At 39.0% G+C, this 20717-nt stretch overlaps 1 protein-coding gene and 1 long non-coding RNA gene across 11 annotated transcripts in view; one reads left to right on the forward strand and one right to left on the reverse strand.

Annotated features, from left to right (window-relative positions):
* Window positions 1-3425: 3425 nt before the first annotated feature.
* NKX2-4 (NK2 homeobox 4) lies at window positions 3426-5587 on the reverse strand. The gene is made up of 2 exons (NM_033176.2): window positions 5019-5587; window positions 3426-4594 (listed from the first exon to the last, which is right to left on the reverse strand). Exons 1-2 carry the CDS (start codon window positions 5458-5460, stop codon window positions 3972-3974), a joined length of 1065 nt encoding a protein of 354 aa, NP_149416.1. The 5' UTR covers window positions 5461-5587; the 3' UTR covers window positions 3426-3971.
* Window positions 4924-20717, forward strand: part of LOC105372558 (uncharacterized) — a 44594-nt gene continuing 28800 nt past the window's right edge. The window contains exons 1-4 of one of the 10 annotated variants that reach the window (XR_001754530.1): window positions 5995-6637; window positions 7324-7427; window positions 14416-14531; window positions 15094-15127. This is a non-coding gene — a long non-coding RNA (uncharacterized LOC105372558). The other 9 variants (XR_001754526.1, XR_007067725.1, XR_001754527.3 and 6 more) reach the window with 9 other exon arrangements.

A 20717-nucleotide genomic window follows, 5' to 3' on the forward strand; every position in this document is an offset into this window, starting at 1 on the left:
CGAATTTTGCTATGCTTAGAAATCTAAAATCTGGACATTCCCTGAAGAGTCAACTTAGAGTCCCCAGTTTCTCGATCTGGCTCCGTCCCACTGACTGACGCCTCCTGCCCACCCCGAAAGGATCCTGGAGCTGCGATCTCGCCAGACTCTATTCCTGGTGATCCACTGCTCTGCTATTTCCCATCAGGAAAAAGTCACCAAACGAATGAACTAGCAAACGGCCCATTCTCGATGGATTTCTCCTCCACTCAGTAAAGCAGAATCCTCCTGTGGCTTGTTTCTCCACGCCTTATTTATGGAATGAGGGCCAAAAGAGAACAGGCTTGAATTGATGTGTATGAAATAGGAATATAGCTGTTCACTACTGCAAAATAGTTTGCACAACTTAAATTTAGGCAATGTTCCTAGTTCCTAGTTAAACTTTTTTAGAAGTCACCTAAACAATTACTGAAGGTTACATGGAATTTCAAAAAACGAAAGGCATTTCATTCAATTGCAAGTAAACATTCTAAAGCAAAAACAAAACCAAACCCACCTCTCCCAGAAACTTCCATTACCTCTAAAGTTAAAAATAATAAAAACAAAAGTGATCCTGAAATCACAAAGTTATCTCAATACTTACTGGAGAGCGCAAATTCCTGATGGGATGTGAATGCAGTTCCCCAGTCTAGGCATCTTCTTTGAAACTTCCCCAGATGTTCACCAAATCTCACTAGTAGTGAAAGGGTATTTATATTTTTAAAAATGTATCATCGTTCTCTGTCTCACTGGGTTGCAGGATAATAATAGTGTTTCAAAAAACTGTACTCAAATAATTAACATACAGGGTTTCATCCACACATTAGTGTTATGGTAAGCAGTGAGGGAGTATTATCCATGCTTTGAACTGTGTCTGCAATTTGTGTTGCCATCACATAATGCATTATTTTCTCTTCAGCACAAATTCACATCTAAAAATCCAATTGATAGGTCTTTATATAATTATGGCTCACAAATTTATTCTAAAAAGTCTTTTAAAATCATCAGTATTCAATGGAGTTAACAAAGCAAGTCTATGGAAGATGCTTGCATTTAGTGAACAGGATTGAGTCTCTGATTTGCTTTAAATTGAAAGTAAACAGTCGCTAGCCGAATGGAGATTGAACACAACATCTGTGTTGATAGAAGTCTGACTACTTGTTCTGACCATTAGGTTTTAGTTCTAGGCAAAGACTTAAATAGAAGACAACTGGGTTACACCCCCATCCTTCCATATACAAAACACCCTTCTTGTGTCCTTCAAAACTGCACACACTCGCACACACAGCACTTCAATATACATCCCAACACAGATTACAGAAAAGTACCTGCAATCCCTCCGTTCCTCTCTGCAACTTTGACTCTGGCTTTTGGTTTCCGTGCCTCAATTGGAAAAGGTAAGTTAGATTGTTGTAAAACCCAAAAACATTTAGGAAAAGGTCACATCTGCTGAGTAAGCATTTTTGAAACAGGTTTGCTGTGGCCTCTGCCAAACTTTGAGGGGCCTTTGTTCCACTCAGACCCTGCGCCAGTCCTCCCTCTCAGTTGTGGAGACACTTATCCTCCTCTTCAGTTAATGAGTTTCACCTAGTCTGGCCATTTGTATTTTTATAAAAGATCTGCAAAGCACTAATTGCAAAAAGAAGAAAACAGCTCGTTTTGCATTAATCAGAAGGTGGGATTCTATGGTAAAAACATTTCTATTTTAAGCTTCAAGAATCAAACCTTTCCCTAATTTCAGGATATGCACACATACAGTCAGTCAGTCTCTGGGTATAGAATGTTAAGCCCTTTGCAGCAATTATTTCTGGCTTGGGGTTTTTTACTCTTTAAAGGAATGCTGAAAGGAATAAGATATGCCCACACAAAATACACTTCCAGAAAATATTGTATATAAAAGTTGTTTCTTCTTAATGTGACATATTTCTTAAAGAAAGTGCACTTCTTCAGTCTAAAGGATTTTGTTCCAGAAATAAACTGTTCATGAAGACTCATTTTCTTTAAATATGTTACCCGGAGCCCTTGGACTATAAGCTATTATTGTTTTTGTAGGTATTGGACTGTAACAAAAAACACTGCCAACCATGTGGGCTTTTAGAACGTTTTCTAGAAGTAAAATTTCAGAATTATGGTACTATTGTGAGGAAATCAAACTAATATAAACAAACATTTTGAAATTTGGCACATCAATAATAGATTTGCTAGCTTAGTTAACATTTCTAAAGTCATTTCCATTAATATGCCAAAAACACCCCAAGTTGAGAGAATTTCCTGTGGGTGTACTGTAGCGTTTTCTTACAAATTTGTCTGCTCAGATTATTTGTTCTTACATAAAATGTTTTAAAAATTAGATCTCATTTTCTAAAAATTCTTTTACGGCCCCTTGATAAAGGGTGATTCCCTTGCTTCTTTAGTGTTTTTTCTCCCTCTGTGAAAGAAACTGGAGTTTTAAAAAATTACTATACAAGAGTCTAGAAAAAGTGCAAGTTTAACTTCTAAAACACCTTCTTATGAATTCAAGTTGCACATTCAGAAAAATGTTCTAACAATGAAGTGAAACACAATGTTTCAGCCCCAAGCTGTAATTCTAAAATCTCAAATGTAGAAGAGGTTTAGGGTCTCCGGTAACTATTTGTTTTGATCATTTGCAAATCATGCTTTATCCATGTTATTTCTTTAATTTTCATTAATTATTTATAAGCACAAATTCGTCAGCTTTTAGTATTTTTAGTCCACTACCAGTCATTTATGAGTAAACTGAGCTGTGTTGTCACATCATGACAATTAGTATTTTAAAAACACATCAAGCCATGTATAAACTTAATGAAAAAGAAATGACCACTTGACTTTTAGAAAAAAGAACTTGTTTCTTTTAAGTTATATTTAAATATCCATTAGAAACATAGGAAATATAAATCGGCATATTAAAGAGTAAATACATTATTTGTACAATAAAACACCAACAAAACCAGTGCAACTCCTAAGTTCTAAATATGGTGGAAAAATTATATTGTAGTTACTTATTCCTTATATCTTGATTACAATTCAATAAATCACCTTTCTTCTTCTTGTCATGCTTTGAATATAGATTAATTGATGTCAATTTTAGAAATTTTACTTGTTTGTTCTAGTACTTTATCAAGGTATTCAAATTCAGACAAGAAAATACCTCAAAGAGAGTAAATACCATGTTTACAGAAGGATAGGGTTATTTATTTTCTCAGTTGATGTTGGGAGACCAGATTTCATATACAAATAGTATACAACCTTTCTTATGGTGAGCTGCATCTTAGGGGGGAAAATCCTCTTTTAGCGTAACATACAAACACTCACTTGCCAAATAATCATCAAAACATTTTGAAATCAGCATTAAATTTAAAAAGCTCCATCAATCCATATAATCAGTATTTTATTTTGATTCCATTGCTCTATTACCTAAATGGCAATAATTCCTCTGCAATAATGTTGCTATGTGTATGATCCACCTTGAGCTACACTTCAATTTACTTTCAATCAAACATTAATGAAATTGCACTTAGGGGGCCCTTCGAAAATTAATCTCCCAAGATAAATTCCACTTCAAAAAGGACTGATTGTTAAAGCTGGGTTGATTTTTATAGTTACAAACGCCAACAAAGTTTCCAACTTTGAGAGCTGTAGTTAAGAATGCCGTGTGAACTTCTCCACCTTTTCGCGTCATTTAAGAACTTCTAGGAGGAGAAAATCACCACCTCAAAGCCTCGTGGCATAATGTTACACTACTCGGTTTCCGGGCTGTCGCTGTCCCCCGCCCCCAGCAAGAGGTTCACAGCCTGCTCCTCTCTGAGACCGGTTCGTTTTGAATCGCAGTTTACACGCGCGAGTCGGTTTTCGCATGCCTCCCCCATCCGTTCTAGCAGTTTCTTGCAGACCCTTCGGGTGCACCAGGACCTAGCCCCGGGGCGCCCTCGCTGTCACCACGTCCTGCCATAGAGCAGGTTGGCGCCCAGGACGCCGCCGCTGTACTCCCCGGCGGCCGCGTCCAGGGCCGCCAGGCCGCCCCCCGGGCCGTGCAGCGCGGGTGGGCTGGGCGACAGCTCCTCCAGCTCAGGTGCTGGCGTCGGGGCCGGCGGCTGCGGACCGGCCTGGCCGGGGGTGGGCGTGCTGGCGCCGTTCTGGCACGGCTTGCCGTCCTTGACCAGCACAGGCACCGCCACGCGGCGCGGGGACGGCGGCGGAGGCGGCGGCGGGCCCAGGCCGCCCTCCTGCTGCAGCTGCTGCGCCGCCTTGTCCTTGGCCTGCCGTTTCATCTTGTACCGGTGGTTCTGGAACCAGATCTTGACCTGCGTGGGCGTCAGGTGGATCATGCTGGCCAGGTGCTCGCGCTCGGGCGCCGACAGGTACTTCTGCTGCTTGAAGCGCCGCTCCAGCTCGTAGACCTGCGCCTGCGAGAAGAGCACGCGGCGCTTCCTTCGCGGAGCGGCTGCCGCCGCCGCCGCGTGCAGCGGGCCCAGCGACTTGGCGGCGTCCGCGATGCCGGTCAGCGACCCCATGCCGGCCACATTCACGCCCGCCGACGGCCCCATGAACCTGGAGACTGGGGAAGAGTCCCAAGGGGGAAGGCGAGTGAGCTCCAGGCCCGCCGGGAGCCGGTCCAGCCGCCGCTCTCTTCACGCCGCGGCCGCGACGCCGCCGGGCCCTCGCTGAATCCCAAGACCCCCTGACCGCCGCGGCCTCCGGCCCCAGCACGCCCCGCGCGCCCTCGGCGGGTCCCAGAGCACCACGCCCTCAACGGGTCCCAGGACGCCGCGCGCGTTCCCGGTCAGGTCCCAGGACCCCCCGCGCGCCCAGGGTCCCCAGAAACCCCGCGCGTCCCGGGCCGCGTCCCAGGACGCCCCGCGCGCCCGCTCGGCCCCAGGACCTCCTAAGCCGCGCGCACCCCGTCCCGCGCCCCCGCGCCCCTCGGCTGTGGCGGGAAACGCCTGAGCCGCCCGCAGCCCCGCGCTCCTGGCCCCTCTCACTTGACGAGTAGCGTGGGTCCGGGTTGGCGCCGTACCAGCCGGTGGCCGCGCCGCCCCGCATGCCGTCCGTGTAGGCGGGCAGCTCGCCCATGTTGCCCAGGCCGCCGTTGCAGTAGCTGCCCATGGCGCCGTGCGGGAACTGCGAGACGCCGGGCGGCATGTGGTAGGTGGCGGCCGCCGCCGCCGCAGCTGCTGCCGCCGCCGCCGCGGCCGCCGCGTTGTGACCCGCCATGGCGTGAGAAGGCTGCATGCCCGCCACGGTCGCCGCCTGCGAGGAGGGCCCAGGTGGCGGCGCGCGGTAGGCGGCCGCGGCCCCCAGGGGCGCCCCCAGGCCGGGTGGCGCGCCGTCCATGGCGCCGCTGAACTTCTTGTAGGTCTCCTCGATGGGGCTCAGGATGTCGGACACGGAGAAGGGCGTCGTGTGCTTTGGGCTCAACGACATGGCTCGGCGGGCAGCCAGGTAGGGGGGCCTGGGGCGCGCGCCGGCAGGACGCGGCGGCCGCTCGTCGCCGCCACCTCGGCCGCGGCAGCTGAGCCTGTGACGAGGAGTCGGCGGCTCGGCGAGCCCCCCGGGCTGCGGGATCTGGGGTTTATTTTAGTCCGGCGCCAGGTTTACGACAGACTCGGGGGGCGGAGCAACATCCCAAACGAGCAAACAATGGTCATTGACATCTTTTTCTCTCGCCCCCCCAACCCCCGCCCCATAATGGAGGCAAAAAAAGGTAAAAGGGGCAGTTGGGTGTTTCTTGGAAAGATCACTCCCCGTTGCTTTTCCCATCTTTGCTTTTCCCATCCTTTGCTTTTCCCATCCTTCGCTCCTCCATCCGCGGCCGTTACCCCAGCCCTCGAGCACCAGAAATAGAAACTCGGAGGCTGGCGTCGAGGCTAGACATGGACTCCGCGCCTGGCCCCTTCCAGATCCCAGTTTTCTAAAGTGACTTCGCACCAAAGTCCGGTATAATTGCGGAATGGGGAACGTGCTGCTAAGTTTGGGGGGAGGGTGTTGCGGGGGCTTGCTTCGTCCTCTCCAGTTATCAGCCCCTCATTCGCTCCATCACCTAAAGTGTTAAAAAAAAAAAAAAAGGCTCTTGGGTCCCACCGTAAGAGCGCATAAAGAGAGGAGGTACAATGACCGTCCTTTGCCATTGTAGGGCTCCCTAATTTATGCGTTTTTAGACCCTTAAGCATCATTTTGTGGGCAACCAAACGGGCACTTCCAAATTAGCTCAAAGTATCCAAGCCCAGAGAAGAGAGAAAACACACATACACTGATAAATACGCAGATGCTAACTTGTAAGTATTCTGTTTTTCCTCTGTGGGGATGGAAATTGAACAAGGGAAAGAGGGGGAACATTTTTATTTCCTAAAATGTTTCCTACTGAGTTTGCACTTGTAAAGTTTTTTCTGCTTTCTTTCCCTTTGTGTGTGTTCTTACTCTCTTTCTCTCAGTAAATATCTCTGACTTAAGTTTATTCTCCCATCACTACCGTGATCAAAAAGAAGAGAAAGACAAAATATCAAAACTTCCAAATATTTCTAGTTGTTCGCAACGGGTCTTTTTGTTGTTGTTGGAAAAATATAACCTGTTCAAGCGATATGAAAATGGATGCAGAAATCAGGTGAAAATTGTAGTTTCTTTGGAAAAATACAAAACCATAGATAAACAGATTTTTAAAACTTTGTCATCCTTTGACTTGCAGTTTTACCCGAATACTTAGACATTATGAACTCTCTACTAAATACTGAACAAGACAAAGCATAAGACAAAAGCAGTGTGCAAAGCATATTGATTAAATTTTGAAAACAATCTTGCAGCAATAATAATGATAACGAGAAAACAAAGATAACACTTTTAAGTTTTCCTGGAAACTGGAGCAGGAGAAAGAAAAACAAGGAGAGTGCTTTCTTAAGCAATATTTTGTTTTATTTTTTTTCCAGAAAAGGGTGTGTGGAATCGATTTAAGTTTAACCTGACAGTACATGTCTTGAAGGCAAGAACAGTGTTACATATTCCTTTTTCTGTTTGGTTTTAGCCCTTTGGTGGAAATGTTCTCCATGGTTTTGTTCTTAGGATTTTAATAATTGTTTTGTTCAACTCAGTATGGTTTTGCAAAGAATCTGCCCTTTCTAGGGGGGAAAAAGCCATAGGTCACCTGTGGGAAGGAAGTGACAGACGAATGTTAAGAGTAATGTTTTAATATACTGTAAAAATAAAATGCAAGGTTACAGGAATTGTTTACAAACATCAGTATTGACTTAGCAAGATTAATATTGCTACAGTTTTAACACGATGCTACTTTTACAGGTCTTTTATGAACTTGAAACACATCGGCTAGGTCTTCATCCTCACCTGCACTGGAATTACCTACTTAAGAAAAACAAACTAATGATACACAAAGAAGCACTTATGTATGTATTTAAACACTTGCTGGGATCCTTCTGAAAACTACAGTTTGAATTTTACGTTTCCGGTTTAGTTTAAATTGTATTGTTTACTTGTATGTATTAGCTTAAATAAAATAATAGTCATTTCAAATGTTTCTCAGAGACAACAGGGTAAGTAAAAAATAGTTGTGTTATGACATCTGTGAATATAAAAGTTATTTGTGGCCCATTATATTTTATTTTTCAAGTTCAAACGTATTTCAAATATGAAACGCATTATCATAATCTCCATATTGATTAGTTGTCCAAGTTGAAAAGTGTTTACAATTTTAATTTTTTCCAGATGATTATTACTCTGTTTTCAGGCTATAAATTTCATCTCATGTAATTTTCTTTGTAGAACTTTGACATAGCAGTTAACATCAAGTGGTTGTACTACAATTTTTGCTTATTTTGTTTTTCAACTGCATTGGGTCCTGTTATAAGTGCATATACATCTGGAATGCTTCCATCTTTAAATTAAAAGCACTTTATCACATCTGAAGGTTCTCTGCAGAGAGTCACTTTCTGACTGCTTAGGAACTTGATAAGCCAAATAGTATTCCATCACTGTAGGTAAACAGTTCTGGGAAAGAAAAATCTACAGTCTTTGACAATTCTTCCTGTCAATTGTTTGTACCTCATTCTAGAAATTACATATCTTCATGCCGGAAACACTATTTGGATGCGTGTGGATGATTCTGAAAATTGATATAGTCTGAAGGATGTATATGTACATTTATATATAGACACAATATAACCCAATTGATATTCCATTGAAGCTTTGTATTCATTTCATCAGATTATCGTGTACCTAAATTATGTGTGGAAATTTATACTTAGTAGATTCTCAAATATTATTGGCTAAACTGCATTTCACAGGAAATGTATTTCTCAGGAGTGTTTTCTCATTGTTTTCCTTAAAAAACAATGCTGGCACCCAGCAAAATAATAAAATTAAAAAATAAAATAAAATGCAAATACTGCCTAAGGGAATACAGTGAAAAGAATTGGTTCTCACTCTCCTATCCTTCAAGGCTCCTAGTTCTTCGCCTCAGAGGAATTTGGTGTTACCTGTTTCTTTTGGAATGGCCTGTCCATCTAGAAGCATACTACCATTTTACACACAAAAGATAGCATGCTCTATGTGATTTGGTACCTTGCCTTTTTCATAGTTTAGGTTTTTATAGTTTCACACATTGCAACATTGAAAACAGACGAAGATAGGCTGTGGCAGATACAGAAATTTTTTCTAGACAAAAAGACAAGATTTCTCTAGACAAAACACTCCTGGCTTTCTGGCAAAAATGTGGTATTTGTTGAAAATCTCTGATGTGTTAGATAGCCTTAGTGCCAAAAATATTTAGCAAAAAAATTCTAAGGAAAGAGCCTTCTGCAGTTTGGATTTGCTCTTGGCAGACAGAAGCTCAGCGAAAGGGACCTGAGAGGAGTTGAGAAACTTCTGACATACCCACTTTGAAGTGGGGGTCCAGCCAGTACTTAGAGGGAAATATTGTTTATCTAGGTGGTGAATAGGTTTTCAGTGGGTCTTGTATTTCCTCATCAAGACTGTTTGAAAATATAACTTTCTGCTTGATACCCAAAAACGTAAGTGCCTTTTAGAACTGAGACACTTGCTACATTTGCAATTAGTTTAAACTAGTTGTGCAACAATTTGATTAATAAGTTTTATGTTGTGGAAGTAGCCTTAAAATATTGTCTTTGCAGTTGGGAAGGAATAAAGAAACATCTTAAGGATACTAGTATTTTGCAGCAAAATTTGAGGTTATAAAGAGGAAAATAAAACTGCCATAGAGATGAAACACAAAGTTTATTTGAATTATTTTACTTTTTTTTGCTAAATTCATCAGTTTCTGAGATCTGGTTCTCATTTCTTTTTAGTCCCTTTATAAGCCTTTTTCCAATAGTGTTCATTTCAATTATTTTAAATGTCTTACAGTAATTTTACACTTGCATTTATAAGGCTTTGTTATTTCTATGTGACACAGTAATCCTTTCATATTTTCTTCACAAAATACAAACTCCTGGCAGTTTACTCAAAAAAATCTTGTGATCCTTTTCCTGAGATTCAGATATTTTAGACTGAAAATTGTTTTCTGACCAATGATAATTGGTATCAATAAACACATTTTAAGCTAACACAATTGTTAGTACAGTGTGAGAATGAATAGTAGGTAATCACATTTTGTTGTCAAAATTATTATAATATGGTCCAATGAAATGATTCCTCCTCCCATCCCCCTAAGGAAAAAAACAAACAAGAAACCTCCCCTTCTAGGGTCAAGCTGTAACACTATAGTTTTTACAGTCAGAGTAGAGAATAACACTGGGCTATAACAGGGGAGTAAAAATAGGGAAATTATCCAGTGTGTCCCAATTCTCTCACCCTAGGATTAGGAGCTTGAGCCACAAATTCAAATTTTTCTATGTTAAAAATCATTTTTTAGAGTAATAATACATGTATGGGAAAAACAATGGCAATATTGAAATATAATTTTTTATTTCTGAATTACAAGTTTATTGTATATTTTGTGTATATAGAAAGTTTAAAATATTTTGGAACATAGTGGTATTTCCATTGAACAACATTTTTTAGATGTTTTGGAGTGTCATTAAATGGCTGTTTTATAGGAAAAAGAATCCTCTGAATTTTAAACAAAACTATATTTCTGTTGGTTATTTTGTGTGAGGAGTTAGTTTTTCTAAGTGTTCCACCATGTTTCCAACACAACCTAATTAGAGTAAATACACAAAGCTTTTAAAAATACTTACTTTATAACTTCTCACATACTGTCACATTTTTCGAATCTGAGATTTAGTGGCTTTAATGTAAACTCTTTTTCTCCTACAAGTCTCATTAAAGATGTGTCATCTTGCATTTACAAATTACTTTGTAATTATCAAGGAAGGTATCAGTTTTTAACATCTGGGCTGAGTAATTGGGCTGTTGCCACCATCACTTACTTGAAGGAGAACTCCAATTTTTGATGTTTTGGTAAATTGATTATTAGGTTGTTGGATTTGTTAATAAAAAGTTTTACTGTGTACATTTTAGAAGGAACAGCTATGACAATATAGTAATTAGAGAATAATTTGCTCAATTTTGTCCCCTTTTGTTCTTCTGTGTACTACTAATGTTGAGGGAATAGTTGACAGATACTTGTATTCACATGTATCTGTCTGAATTGTAGGTTGAGAATTGTTCTTAAAAGGAAGCAATAGGCTAATGTTTACCTCATAAATCAATGCAAATTTTGGTAGATTTTAAGCAATTTATTGCTTAATAATTTGCATTAAAAAGCTTAATATGAAACAATTTCATTAATCTACTTTCTTCAGACAGTAAGTGCCACAAGGAAAACCTGACTAATAAAGTTGCCTTATAAGATTTTCTCAAGAAAACCAAAACCCAAAAAACCTAATAAAATGAGAGTCTCAAACCACAACAGACGTGTCAGATGGACTTGAAAATTACTGATTATTGCCCCAGAATATCCAGTTTGTGAAATAAATTGTGGGATCTGACTCTAGTAAATCTAGGGTTTATTATAAAGTTTTTAAAAGTGAAGTACTAAATGTAAAAGGCAATTTGATCTTGTCACTGTGTAGGGAATTACGTAGGTGTAATACTGAAAAGGTGATTCAAACTGGTGTTTGTACTTTTAGAAATCATGGAAATTACACAAAAATGTCACAAACCACAGCCATTGGAATTTGGCCTGAAATACCAAGCCAGATAAATGAGAATTGCTTGAGAAAATCGGAACCAGCTTAAATGAAAGCAGCTTATCATTGGCATGTAGTATGTCTTTTAAAATGTATAATTATCTAACAGAAGGAAAATAGAATATTTGGAGTAGATTACCTCTTCAAAAACAAAAAGCATATGCTATGTATCCAAGGTAAATTTTTAAAAAACTAACTCAACCCTAAAAAATGGCAAACTTCAATGAGTGAAAGATTTTTTAAAATAACATATTCAAAAAAATTTAAATCAAATTTATATTTTTTAAAGTTCACTTTTTAATGAAGGACTAAATCTTGAACTGTAAAGATTATATTAGGGTTAAATGTTTTGCATAAGTTATTGTTCTAGGATTTGGATAATAGAATAATTTACAAGGCCATTGTTTCAATACATTCTTTATATGTTTACCATTACAAACATATAAACAAAATACTCTGAAAGATCTGAATGGAAAGTATTATATGAAATTTTATTTTTCTATAAATATTGAGGTATATATATAATTATTTTTTGTTTTTATTTCTTAGCTACATCTGCTGGAATGAGATGTATGATGATTTAGAGTTGGTTCTCTTAAGTGCAGTATTTCTTTAGGATAATCAGTGATAGTGCATATATGATTGAGCTACTGTTGTGAACATAATTGATGGCAGAATGCCTTGATGCAGCTCTTACCAACAATTTATGGAGATTAAAAGGGTGGTAGAACTGGTGGGTTAGAAATTGCTTTCTAAAGAACTGGAGGATCGAAGAGAAACCTGGGGTTTCCAGTGCCCTCTGAAATAATCTTTACATAAAACCCAGGTTTAGTAGGTACAATTGTTGTTTAAGTGCGCTGCTCATGAAAAAAATTTATGTGGCAGAAATATTATTTGGTCATGGATATTGTATGAACAAATCAGGGCTTCTGTACCCATGTTAAAGGAAAAATGGAGAATGTTCTGTATATTTAATATGCACATGTGATTGTATTTAACTTTATAGGTAATAAATGATACAGGTAAACACACTTATGAAGATCAAACACATTTCACGCCCAAGAAAGTCTAATCACGAATTGTCCTTAGCTTCCTGTATATGGATTGTCCCGTTTCCATATGTTCAAGCAAGATGTATCTCTCTCACATAGATATTTTTACTTAGAGACTCAAGAGGACATATGTAAGGCAAAAAAAAAACATAAACATTTATTCTTCCTCTGCCTTGATATATAAAAAATCTGAGGCAGTTTATAAATAAATATATTTGTGCGCTTTAAACATTTAGTAAGACTCAAGACCTCATAAATAAGGATCTTATAAAAGAGTAGGAAATTAAGATATAAGTTGAAAAAACATCAACTAAACAGGCTATAAAGCCTACTGAATTCCTATAGTTGAGCCTCACATTTGGCTCTAAGCTTCCTCGTGGTCAATTGAAAAAGTCAGTTATATTTTCCTTGCATTTAGGAAGAACACCCTCCCAATACACACAGACATACACACAACATTTCTCAAGGAAAGAGGCATTTCCTAATACTCAGCTCTAAAAAAAAATTTGTCATGGGGCTTCATGGAGGGAGCACTGAACATAAACATCTTAATAGTTCTATAGCAGATGGAATTATTTTTAAATATTGGCTTGTTGTAGTGGCCATTCCTAAAAAGTCTGAGACCTCAACATCGAATCATCTCAATTAAGGACTCTAAGGTTTAGGAACAAAATATGGTTCAGGTTTGTAGCCTTCTGATTCAGGAATGCTTCATACTTTAAAAAAATGACTTCATAGATCATGCCTATAATCCCAGCACTTTGGGAGGCCGAGGCGGGTGGATCACGAGGTCAGGAGATGGAGACCATCCTGGCTAACACGGTGAAATCCCGTCTCTACTAAAAATACAAAAAATTAGCCAGGTGTGGTGGCGGGCGCCTGTAGTCCCAGCTACTTGGGAGGCTGAGGCAGGAGAATGGCGTGAACCCAGGAGGCGGAACTTGCAGTGAGCCGAGATCGCGCCACTGCACTCCAGCCTGGGCAACTGAGTGAGACTCCGTTTCAAAAACAAAAACAAAAACAAAAAACAAAAAAAAAACTTCATAGAAACTACAACATCGTTTGATATCCTAGTTATTAGAAAGTTCTGATACTGAGGCTAAATAGGTCACCATAATTTGCAGGTAACAGTCCTAGATCAGTTCTTTGATGCCAAACTAACTCTAGTTCTTTCCCACAAAGCACTCTAAATATAAGAGAATATTATATTCTACCTATGTTTTCTCCTTTTCATACTAAAAAAATCCTCCAGAGCAAAAAGATCTAGAATGAACACATACAATTATATTAACTAAGAATTTATTTAGTGATTACTATATGCTTAAGATTGTCTTAGTGCTTTAGAAAACTGGGGAAGGAGCCCCTCTGATATTAGAATAAACTTATCCCTGGCATTCATATCCTGACGTTGAGCAGTATTTTAAAATTATATATTGATGTAGTTTGGATGCTTGACCCCTCCAAATCTCATGCAGAGATTTGATCCCCAGTGTTGGAGTGGGGCCTGGTGGGAGATATTTGGATCACGGGGAGGCATCCCTCATGAAGGGCGTGGTGCCTTCCTTCTGGTAGTGAGTGACTGCTTCCTTTAGTTCTTGCAAGATCTGATTGTTTAAAAGAATCTGGCACCACCCTCCTCTCTCTCTCGCTTCCTCTTGCCATGTGATGCCTGCCCTCCTTCACCTTCCGTCGTAAATTGAGGCACTCTGAAGCCCTCACCAGAAGCAGATGCTTCTGGTACAGTCTACAGAACTGTGAGCTAAATAAACCTCTTTTCTTTATAAGTTGCCCTGCCTCAGGTATTCCTTTATAGCAACAGACTAAGGTATTCCTATATAGCAAATGGACTAAGACATGTATACATAATATGTATTACTTTATGTACTTTTATGTACTATTTGAAATTATATGTTTATATCCATGTGAATATATCCTGTATATATATGTGTATATATATGTGTGTGTGTGTATATATATATATATATATATATGTATATGTCTAAAAGAAAATGCATGTCAAATTCTAAATAGCTGACTTACTAATGAACTTTTCAGAACACATCCCATTTGTAAGGTGGGGATAAGGCAAAAATTGTAAACATTACTAATATTTATTTGTCTTACTAACATACTAGTTACTTTCATGAGCTTTATGTGTTTATCTCATTTAATAGGTACAATAGAAGAGAAGTGTCATCAACATTGACAGTTCAAACGTAAAGATCTTCTAAATAGGGGTGAAAAAGAAATCTTAAAGTTATTTATGGCTGCTCTCCTGCATCTCTACAAGGTTAATAGATGATGATTTATGCAATTTTTTTTTAGACGGAGTCTTGCTGTGTTGTCCAGGCTGGAGTGCAGTGGTGTGATCTTGGCTCACTTGCAACCCTCACCTCCTGGGTTTAAACGATTCTCCTGCCTCAGCCTCCCAGGTAGCTGGGATTACAGGGACCCGCCAGCACATCCTGCTAATCTTTTTATTTTTAATAGAGATGGGGTTTCACCATGTTGGCCAGACCAGTCTAAACTCCTGACCGCAAGTGATCCGCCCACCTCAGCCTCCCAGAGTGCTGGGATTACAGGCATGAGCCACAGTGCCTGGCCTGATTTGTGGTATTTTTGAGTAGCCGTTGTTAATGAGACTATTCTTACATTGCCAGATGATTTTGATGACTATTTTAATTGGATATTTGTTTTGTATACATTTTCTTTATAAGGGCAGCAGAAGGTTTGGAAGTTTCAAGTGGTTAGAGTAGAGTTAATGGAGCAGTAATAGAAGGTGTTTCTTTCCTCTAGGTACTACAGTAATGAAGTAATTTTCATTTTTGCTTTTTTCTTTTCTTTGAGACAAGGTCTCGCTGTGTTGTCCAGGCTGGAATGCAGCGGCATGATCATGGCTTTCTGCAACCTGTGCCTCCCAGGCTCAAGCAATCCTCCCACCTCAGCTTCTGAGTATCTGAGACTACAGGCAGGCACCACCACGCCCTGCTAATTTTTGTATATTTCGTAGAGACGGAGTTTTGCCATGTTGCCCAGGCTGGTCATACTCCTGAGCTCAAGCAGTTCATCACCTTGGCCTCCCAAAGTGTTGGGATTATAGGCATAAGCCACCATGACTGGCTTGAAATAATTTTCTTAGATAATTGAATAATATAGTTTCTCAGGTATAGTGACAAATATTTGTAGAACACTGGCATTGATCATTATTAACTCAATATTATTAAAATTACTGAGGTGATAAAAGCTTTTTGTAAAACAAATCAAATAATGTGTGGAAGTATATGGAGCAATGCTATCCAGTAGAAATACAATGTGAGCCACAAGTATAGTTTAAAATTTTCTGGTAGCTATGTTACACATAATGAAGAGAAATAGGTGGTATTAAATAGAAATATATTTAGGCTGGGCGCAGTGGCTCATGCCTGTAATCCCAGCTCTTTGGGAGGCTGATATGGGAGGATTGTTTGAGGCCAGGAGTTTGAGAACAGCCTGGTCAACATAGTGAGACCCCCCATCTCTAATTTAAAAATAAAAATAAAAATTGTATTTAACCCAGTATTTCCAAAAGGCTATTATTTTTATATGCTATATACTCAATGTAAAATCATTAAGGAGGTTTTTCTTGTACTAAGCCTTTGTAATTTTACACCTACTGCACATCTCAATTTGGACTAGTCACAATTCAAGTGCTCAGTAGCAGTGTGCTGCTCATGGCTATTGTATTCAGCAGCATTGTTCTAGAGCAGGGATCAGGAAACTATGACCTGTAGGCCAAATCTGGTCCAGCACCTGTTTTTGTACAGCCCAGGAGTTAAGAGTGGTCTTTACATTTTTTAATGGTTGAAAAAAATTAGATGATTAGTAATATTTCATGATGTGTGAAAATCCTATGAAATTCAAATATCAGTGTTCATAAATAAAGTTTTATTGAACACACTTGCACTCCTTTGTCTATGACTGCTTTCTTGCTACGGCAGCATAGTTGAGTAATTGCAAGAGACTGTATAGCCCACAAGCCTAAAATATTTAATTACTGGCCCTTTACAGAAAATGTGGGTCAACCTCTGCAAGAGTAAAAGAGAAAGTTACTTATGCATATATCCAATCCCACACCTGTTTCTAGAAGCAATCACTATTAGGGTATTTTTTTGTTTTTCTAGATCTTTCTATATATGTCTGTATATCTGTGTGTACACACACCCACATATATCCTATGGCTAGTTTTATTTATGTATCTATAACATATTTACACTTTTTAATATAATGTTATTACATATATATTCTGTGATTTCCTTTCTTTAACTATATTTTGTATCAGTTTCCACATCAGTACCTATACATGTTTCTTGTCAGTACAAATACATGTTTTCACAGCAGTGCACATCTTCATAATTCTTTGTTTTTTTGTGAGATAGTGTCTCTTGTTCTGTTGCCCAGGTCTACTCACTCTGAGTGCATTGATGTGATCTCAACTCAGCAGCCTCCACCTCCTGGGCTCAAGTGATCCTCCCACCTTAGCTTCCCAAGTAGCTGGGACTACGCGGGTGTGCACCACCATACCTGGCTAATACAGAAATTTTTGTTGTTGTAGAGACAGTGTCTCCCTATGTTGCCCAGGGTAGTCTCGAACTCCTGGACTCAAGTGATCCTCCCACCTCAGCCTCCCAAAGTGCTGGGATTGCAAGTGTGAGCCACTGTGCCCAGCTGATCTTCAACATTCTTTCTAATGATTATTTATATTCCATAATATGGTTTTACTGTAAGTTATTTAACCAGTTCCCCATTAAGGAGTTGAGGTTTGTTCTTTCTTTTTCTTTCTCTCTTCATTCTTTTGTTCTTTAGTTCTTTTCTTCCTTTCTATTATAAACAGTGTTGCAGTGAACATACAGATCTTTGTGTACTGGTACAGAAATTTCTTCAGGACAGATTTCTAGAACTAAAATTGGATCAGAAGGTAAGTTTTTTTGTGTGTTTATTTAGAGACAGGGTCTTGCTCTGTTGCCCAGGTTGGAAGGCAGTGGCTCAATCATAGCTCACTGTAACCTTGGACCCTTGGGATCCAGGAATCTTCCCCACTCAGCCTCCAGAGTAGCCAATACTACAGGTGCATGCCACCATGCTCTGCTAATATTTTTAGTTTTTGTAGAGATGGGGGTCTTGCTTTGTTGACCAGGCTGGTCTTGAACTCCTGATCTCAAGCCATCCTCCCACCTCAGCTTCCCAAAGTGCTGGAATTACAGGTGTGAGCCACTTTGTCCAGCCAGTCAGAGGATAAATTTATTACACATTAGGGTAGAGGCTGCCAAAGTGCCTTCCAAAAAGACTATTAGTTTACACATTAGTTTACGTTAGCAGTGTTATGACTTTTCTCCCTACATCTCTCACTGACACTAGATAATAATTTAAAACGTTTTTAACCAGTCTAAATTCAGTTTTACTAAGTACTTTAATATTTCTTTAATACTATTCTACTTACAAAAAATACTATTGCTCATTTAAACAACCAAAAAGAAAAGAAAATTAACCAAGAAATATATCAACTGTAAGGGGAAAGTCCCCTGAAAATAACACCCAGAAATACCACTATTGTAGAAGTATTCCAGCTGAAAATTTTAGCCTACACTCTTAACATATTTTTACTTTCAACCTTGTTACTTTTCCTTGAGAGGATCATGGTTTAGTAAAAAGCAATTATGCTTTAGAATTAGATGGACTTCAGGCCGGGCGTGGTGGCTCATGGCTTTGATTCCAGCACTTGGGGAGGCCGAGGTGGGCAGATCACCGAAGGTCAGGAGTTCGAGACCAGCCTGGCCAACATGGTGAAAGCCCATCTCTACTAAAAATGCAAAAATTAACCGGGGTGTGGTGGCACTTGCCTGTAGTCCCAGCTACTTGGGAGGCTGAGGCAGGAGAATCACTTGAACCTGGGAGGCAGAGGTTGCACTCCAGCCTGGGCGACAGAGTGAGACTCTATCTCAAAAAAAAAAAAAAAAAAAAAAAGAATTAGATGGACTTCAGTTGAATCACATTCTACCAAACTGTAAAATTTGGTGGCAAATTTTACTTAACCTTTCTGAATCTAAGTTTTCTCATCTGTAAAAATGTGAAGTTAGATTAAATAGGTTTAAGTAATAGATGAAGTCACCCATTGTAGCAATTTTAGAAAATATTTGCTTTATTATTTATTTTATTCCTTTCTTATTTAGTATGTCCCAAAAGTATATATTTTTTTCTTTTCCTTTTTAGTTAACACCTCATAATTGGACCTATTTATGAGATAAAGTGATATTTCAATACACGTGCAATGATCAAATACAATGTACAATGACCAAATCAGGATAATTAACATATTTGTCACTTCAAAAATTATCATTTCTTTGTGTTGAGAACATTCAAAATCTTCTACCTTTTTCAATGTACCATAAATTATTGTTGATCGTATTCATCCTACATTGCTACAGAGCACTAGGACTTATTCCTCCTATCTAGCTGTAATTTTGTATCTGTTAACCATTATCTTCCTACCCCTGCCTTTCTCAGCCTCTAATAACAACAATTCTACTCTCTACTTTTATGAGCACAACTTTTTAGCTCCTATATGAGTGAGGACCTGTGGTATTTATCTGTTTTTCCAACTTTTCATTTGGATTATTAGTTGTTTTGCTATTGAGTTCCTTATATATTCTGGATATTAGTCCTGTTTCATATGTATAGTTTGCAAATGTTTTCTCCCATTCTACAGATTGTCTCCTCACTTTGTTGTTTCCTTTGCTGTGCAGAAGCTTTTTAGTTTGAGGTAGTACCATTTGCCCATTTCTGTTTTTTGTTGCCTGTGCTTACCCATAAAATCTTTGCCTAGACCAGTATCCTGAGGATTTTCCCTATGTTTTCTTTTAGCAGTTTTATACTTTTGGGTCTTACATTTAAGTTTTTAATTCATTTTAGGTTGATTTTTGTATATGGTAAGAGATAAAAGTCCAGTTTTATTCCTCTGCATATGGATATCCAGTTTTCCCAGCACCATTTAGTGAAGAGGGTGTCCTCTCCTCAATTTATATTCTTGATGCCTTTGTTGAAAATCAGTTGACTGTAAACATATGGATTTATTTCTGGTTTCTCTTTTATGTCCCATTGGTCTATATGTCTGTTTTTATACCAATACCATGCTGTTTTGGTTACTATAGCTTTGTAATGTATTTTAAAGTTAGGTAGTGTAATGCCTCTAGCTTTGTACTTTTTGCTCAAAAGTGATTTGGCTACTTGTCTTTTGTGGTTTCACACATATTTTAGGATTAAAAAATTTCTGTGAAGAATATCATTGATATTTTGATGGAGATTGCGTTGAATCTGTAGATTGCTTGGGGTAGTATGATCATTTTAACAATATTAATTTTTCCAGTCTGTGGGCATGGGAGGTCTTTCCATGTTTTGTGTCCTCCTTAAATTCTTCCATTAGTATTTTGTAGTTTTCATCTTGGACATCTTTCACCTCCTTGATTAAATTTCTTCCCAAGTATTTTTTGGTAGCAATTGTAAATGGGATTGCTTTCTTGATTTTTTTTCAGATAATTCATTATTGGTGTGTAGAAAATCTACTGATTTTTATATGTTGATTTGGTATCTTGCAACTTTACTGAATTCATTTACTAGTTCTAAGAGTTTTTCTGTGGAGTCTTTAGGTTTTTGTATCTATAAGGTCATGTTCTCTGCAAAGGGCCAATTTGACTTCCTCTTTTCCAATTTGGATGCCCTTTATATCTTTCTCTTGCCTAATTGCTTTGGCTAGGATGTTCAGTACTGCATTGAATAAGAGTGATGAAAGTGGGTATCCTTGTATTGTTCCAGTTCTTACAGGAAGAGTTTTCAGCTTTTCCATGTTCAGTCTGATGTTAGCTGTGGGTTTGTCATATATGATTTTTATTGTGTAGGTATGTTCCTTCTACACATAATTTGTTGAGAGTTTTCTTTTATCATGAAGGGATGTTAAAATTTACCAAATATTTTTTGTGCATCTATTGATCATAAGGTTTTGCCCTCCACTCTATTGGTGAGAGGTATCACATTTATTGATTTGCATATGTTGAGCCATCCTTCCATCCCTGAGATAAATCCTACTTGACTGTGGTGTACTATCTTTTTGATGTGCTTTTGGATTTGGTTTGCTAGTATTTTGCTGAGGACTTTTACAACTATGTTCATTAGGGATATTGGCCTGTAGTTTTCTTTTTTGGTTGTATCCTTGTCTCACTTTGGTATCAGGGTAATGCTGGCATTATAGAATGAATTAGGAAGAATTCCCTGCTCTTCATTTTTTGGAATAGTTTCAGACAATTGGTTTTAGTTCTTCTTTGCACATTTGGTAGAATTCAACAGTAAAGCCATCTGGCGGTGGGTTTGTCTTTGTTAGTCTGTTTAGGCTTTCTATTTCTTGGTAGGTTATATGTATACATGAATTTATCTGTTTCCTCTAGGTTTT

The sequence above is a fragment of the Homo sapiens genome, chromosome 20 (genome assembly GCF_000001405.40).
Source record: "Homo sapiens chromosome 20, GRCh38.p14 Primary Assembly".
Taxonomy (NCBI): Eukaryota; Metazoa; Chordata; class Mammalia; order Primates; family Hominidae; genus Homo; species Homo sapiens.

What these genes read in the sequence shown, in the direction of transcription:
- NKX2-4 (NM_033176.2), bottom strand. Translation starts at nt 5,460, where the DNA reads ATGTCGTTGAGCCCAAAGCACACGACGCCCTTCTCCGTGTCCGACATC. An exon ending in GGACCCACGCTACTCGTCAA is followed by an intron (nt 4,595 to 5,018) that starts GTGAGAGGGGCC and finishes ACTCTTCCCCAG; the next exon opens with TCTCCAGGTTCATGGGGCCG.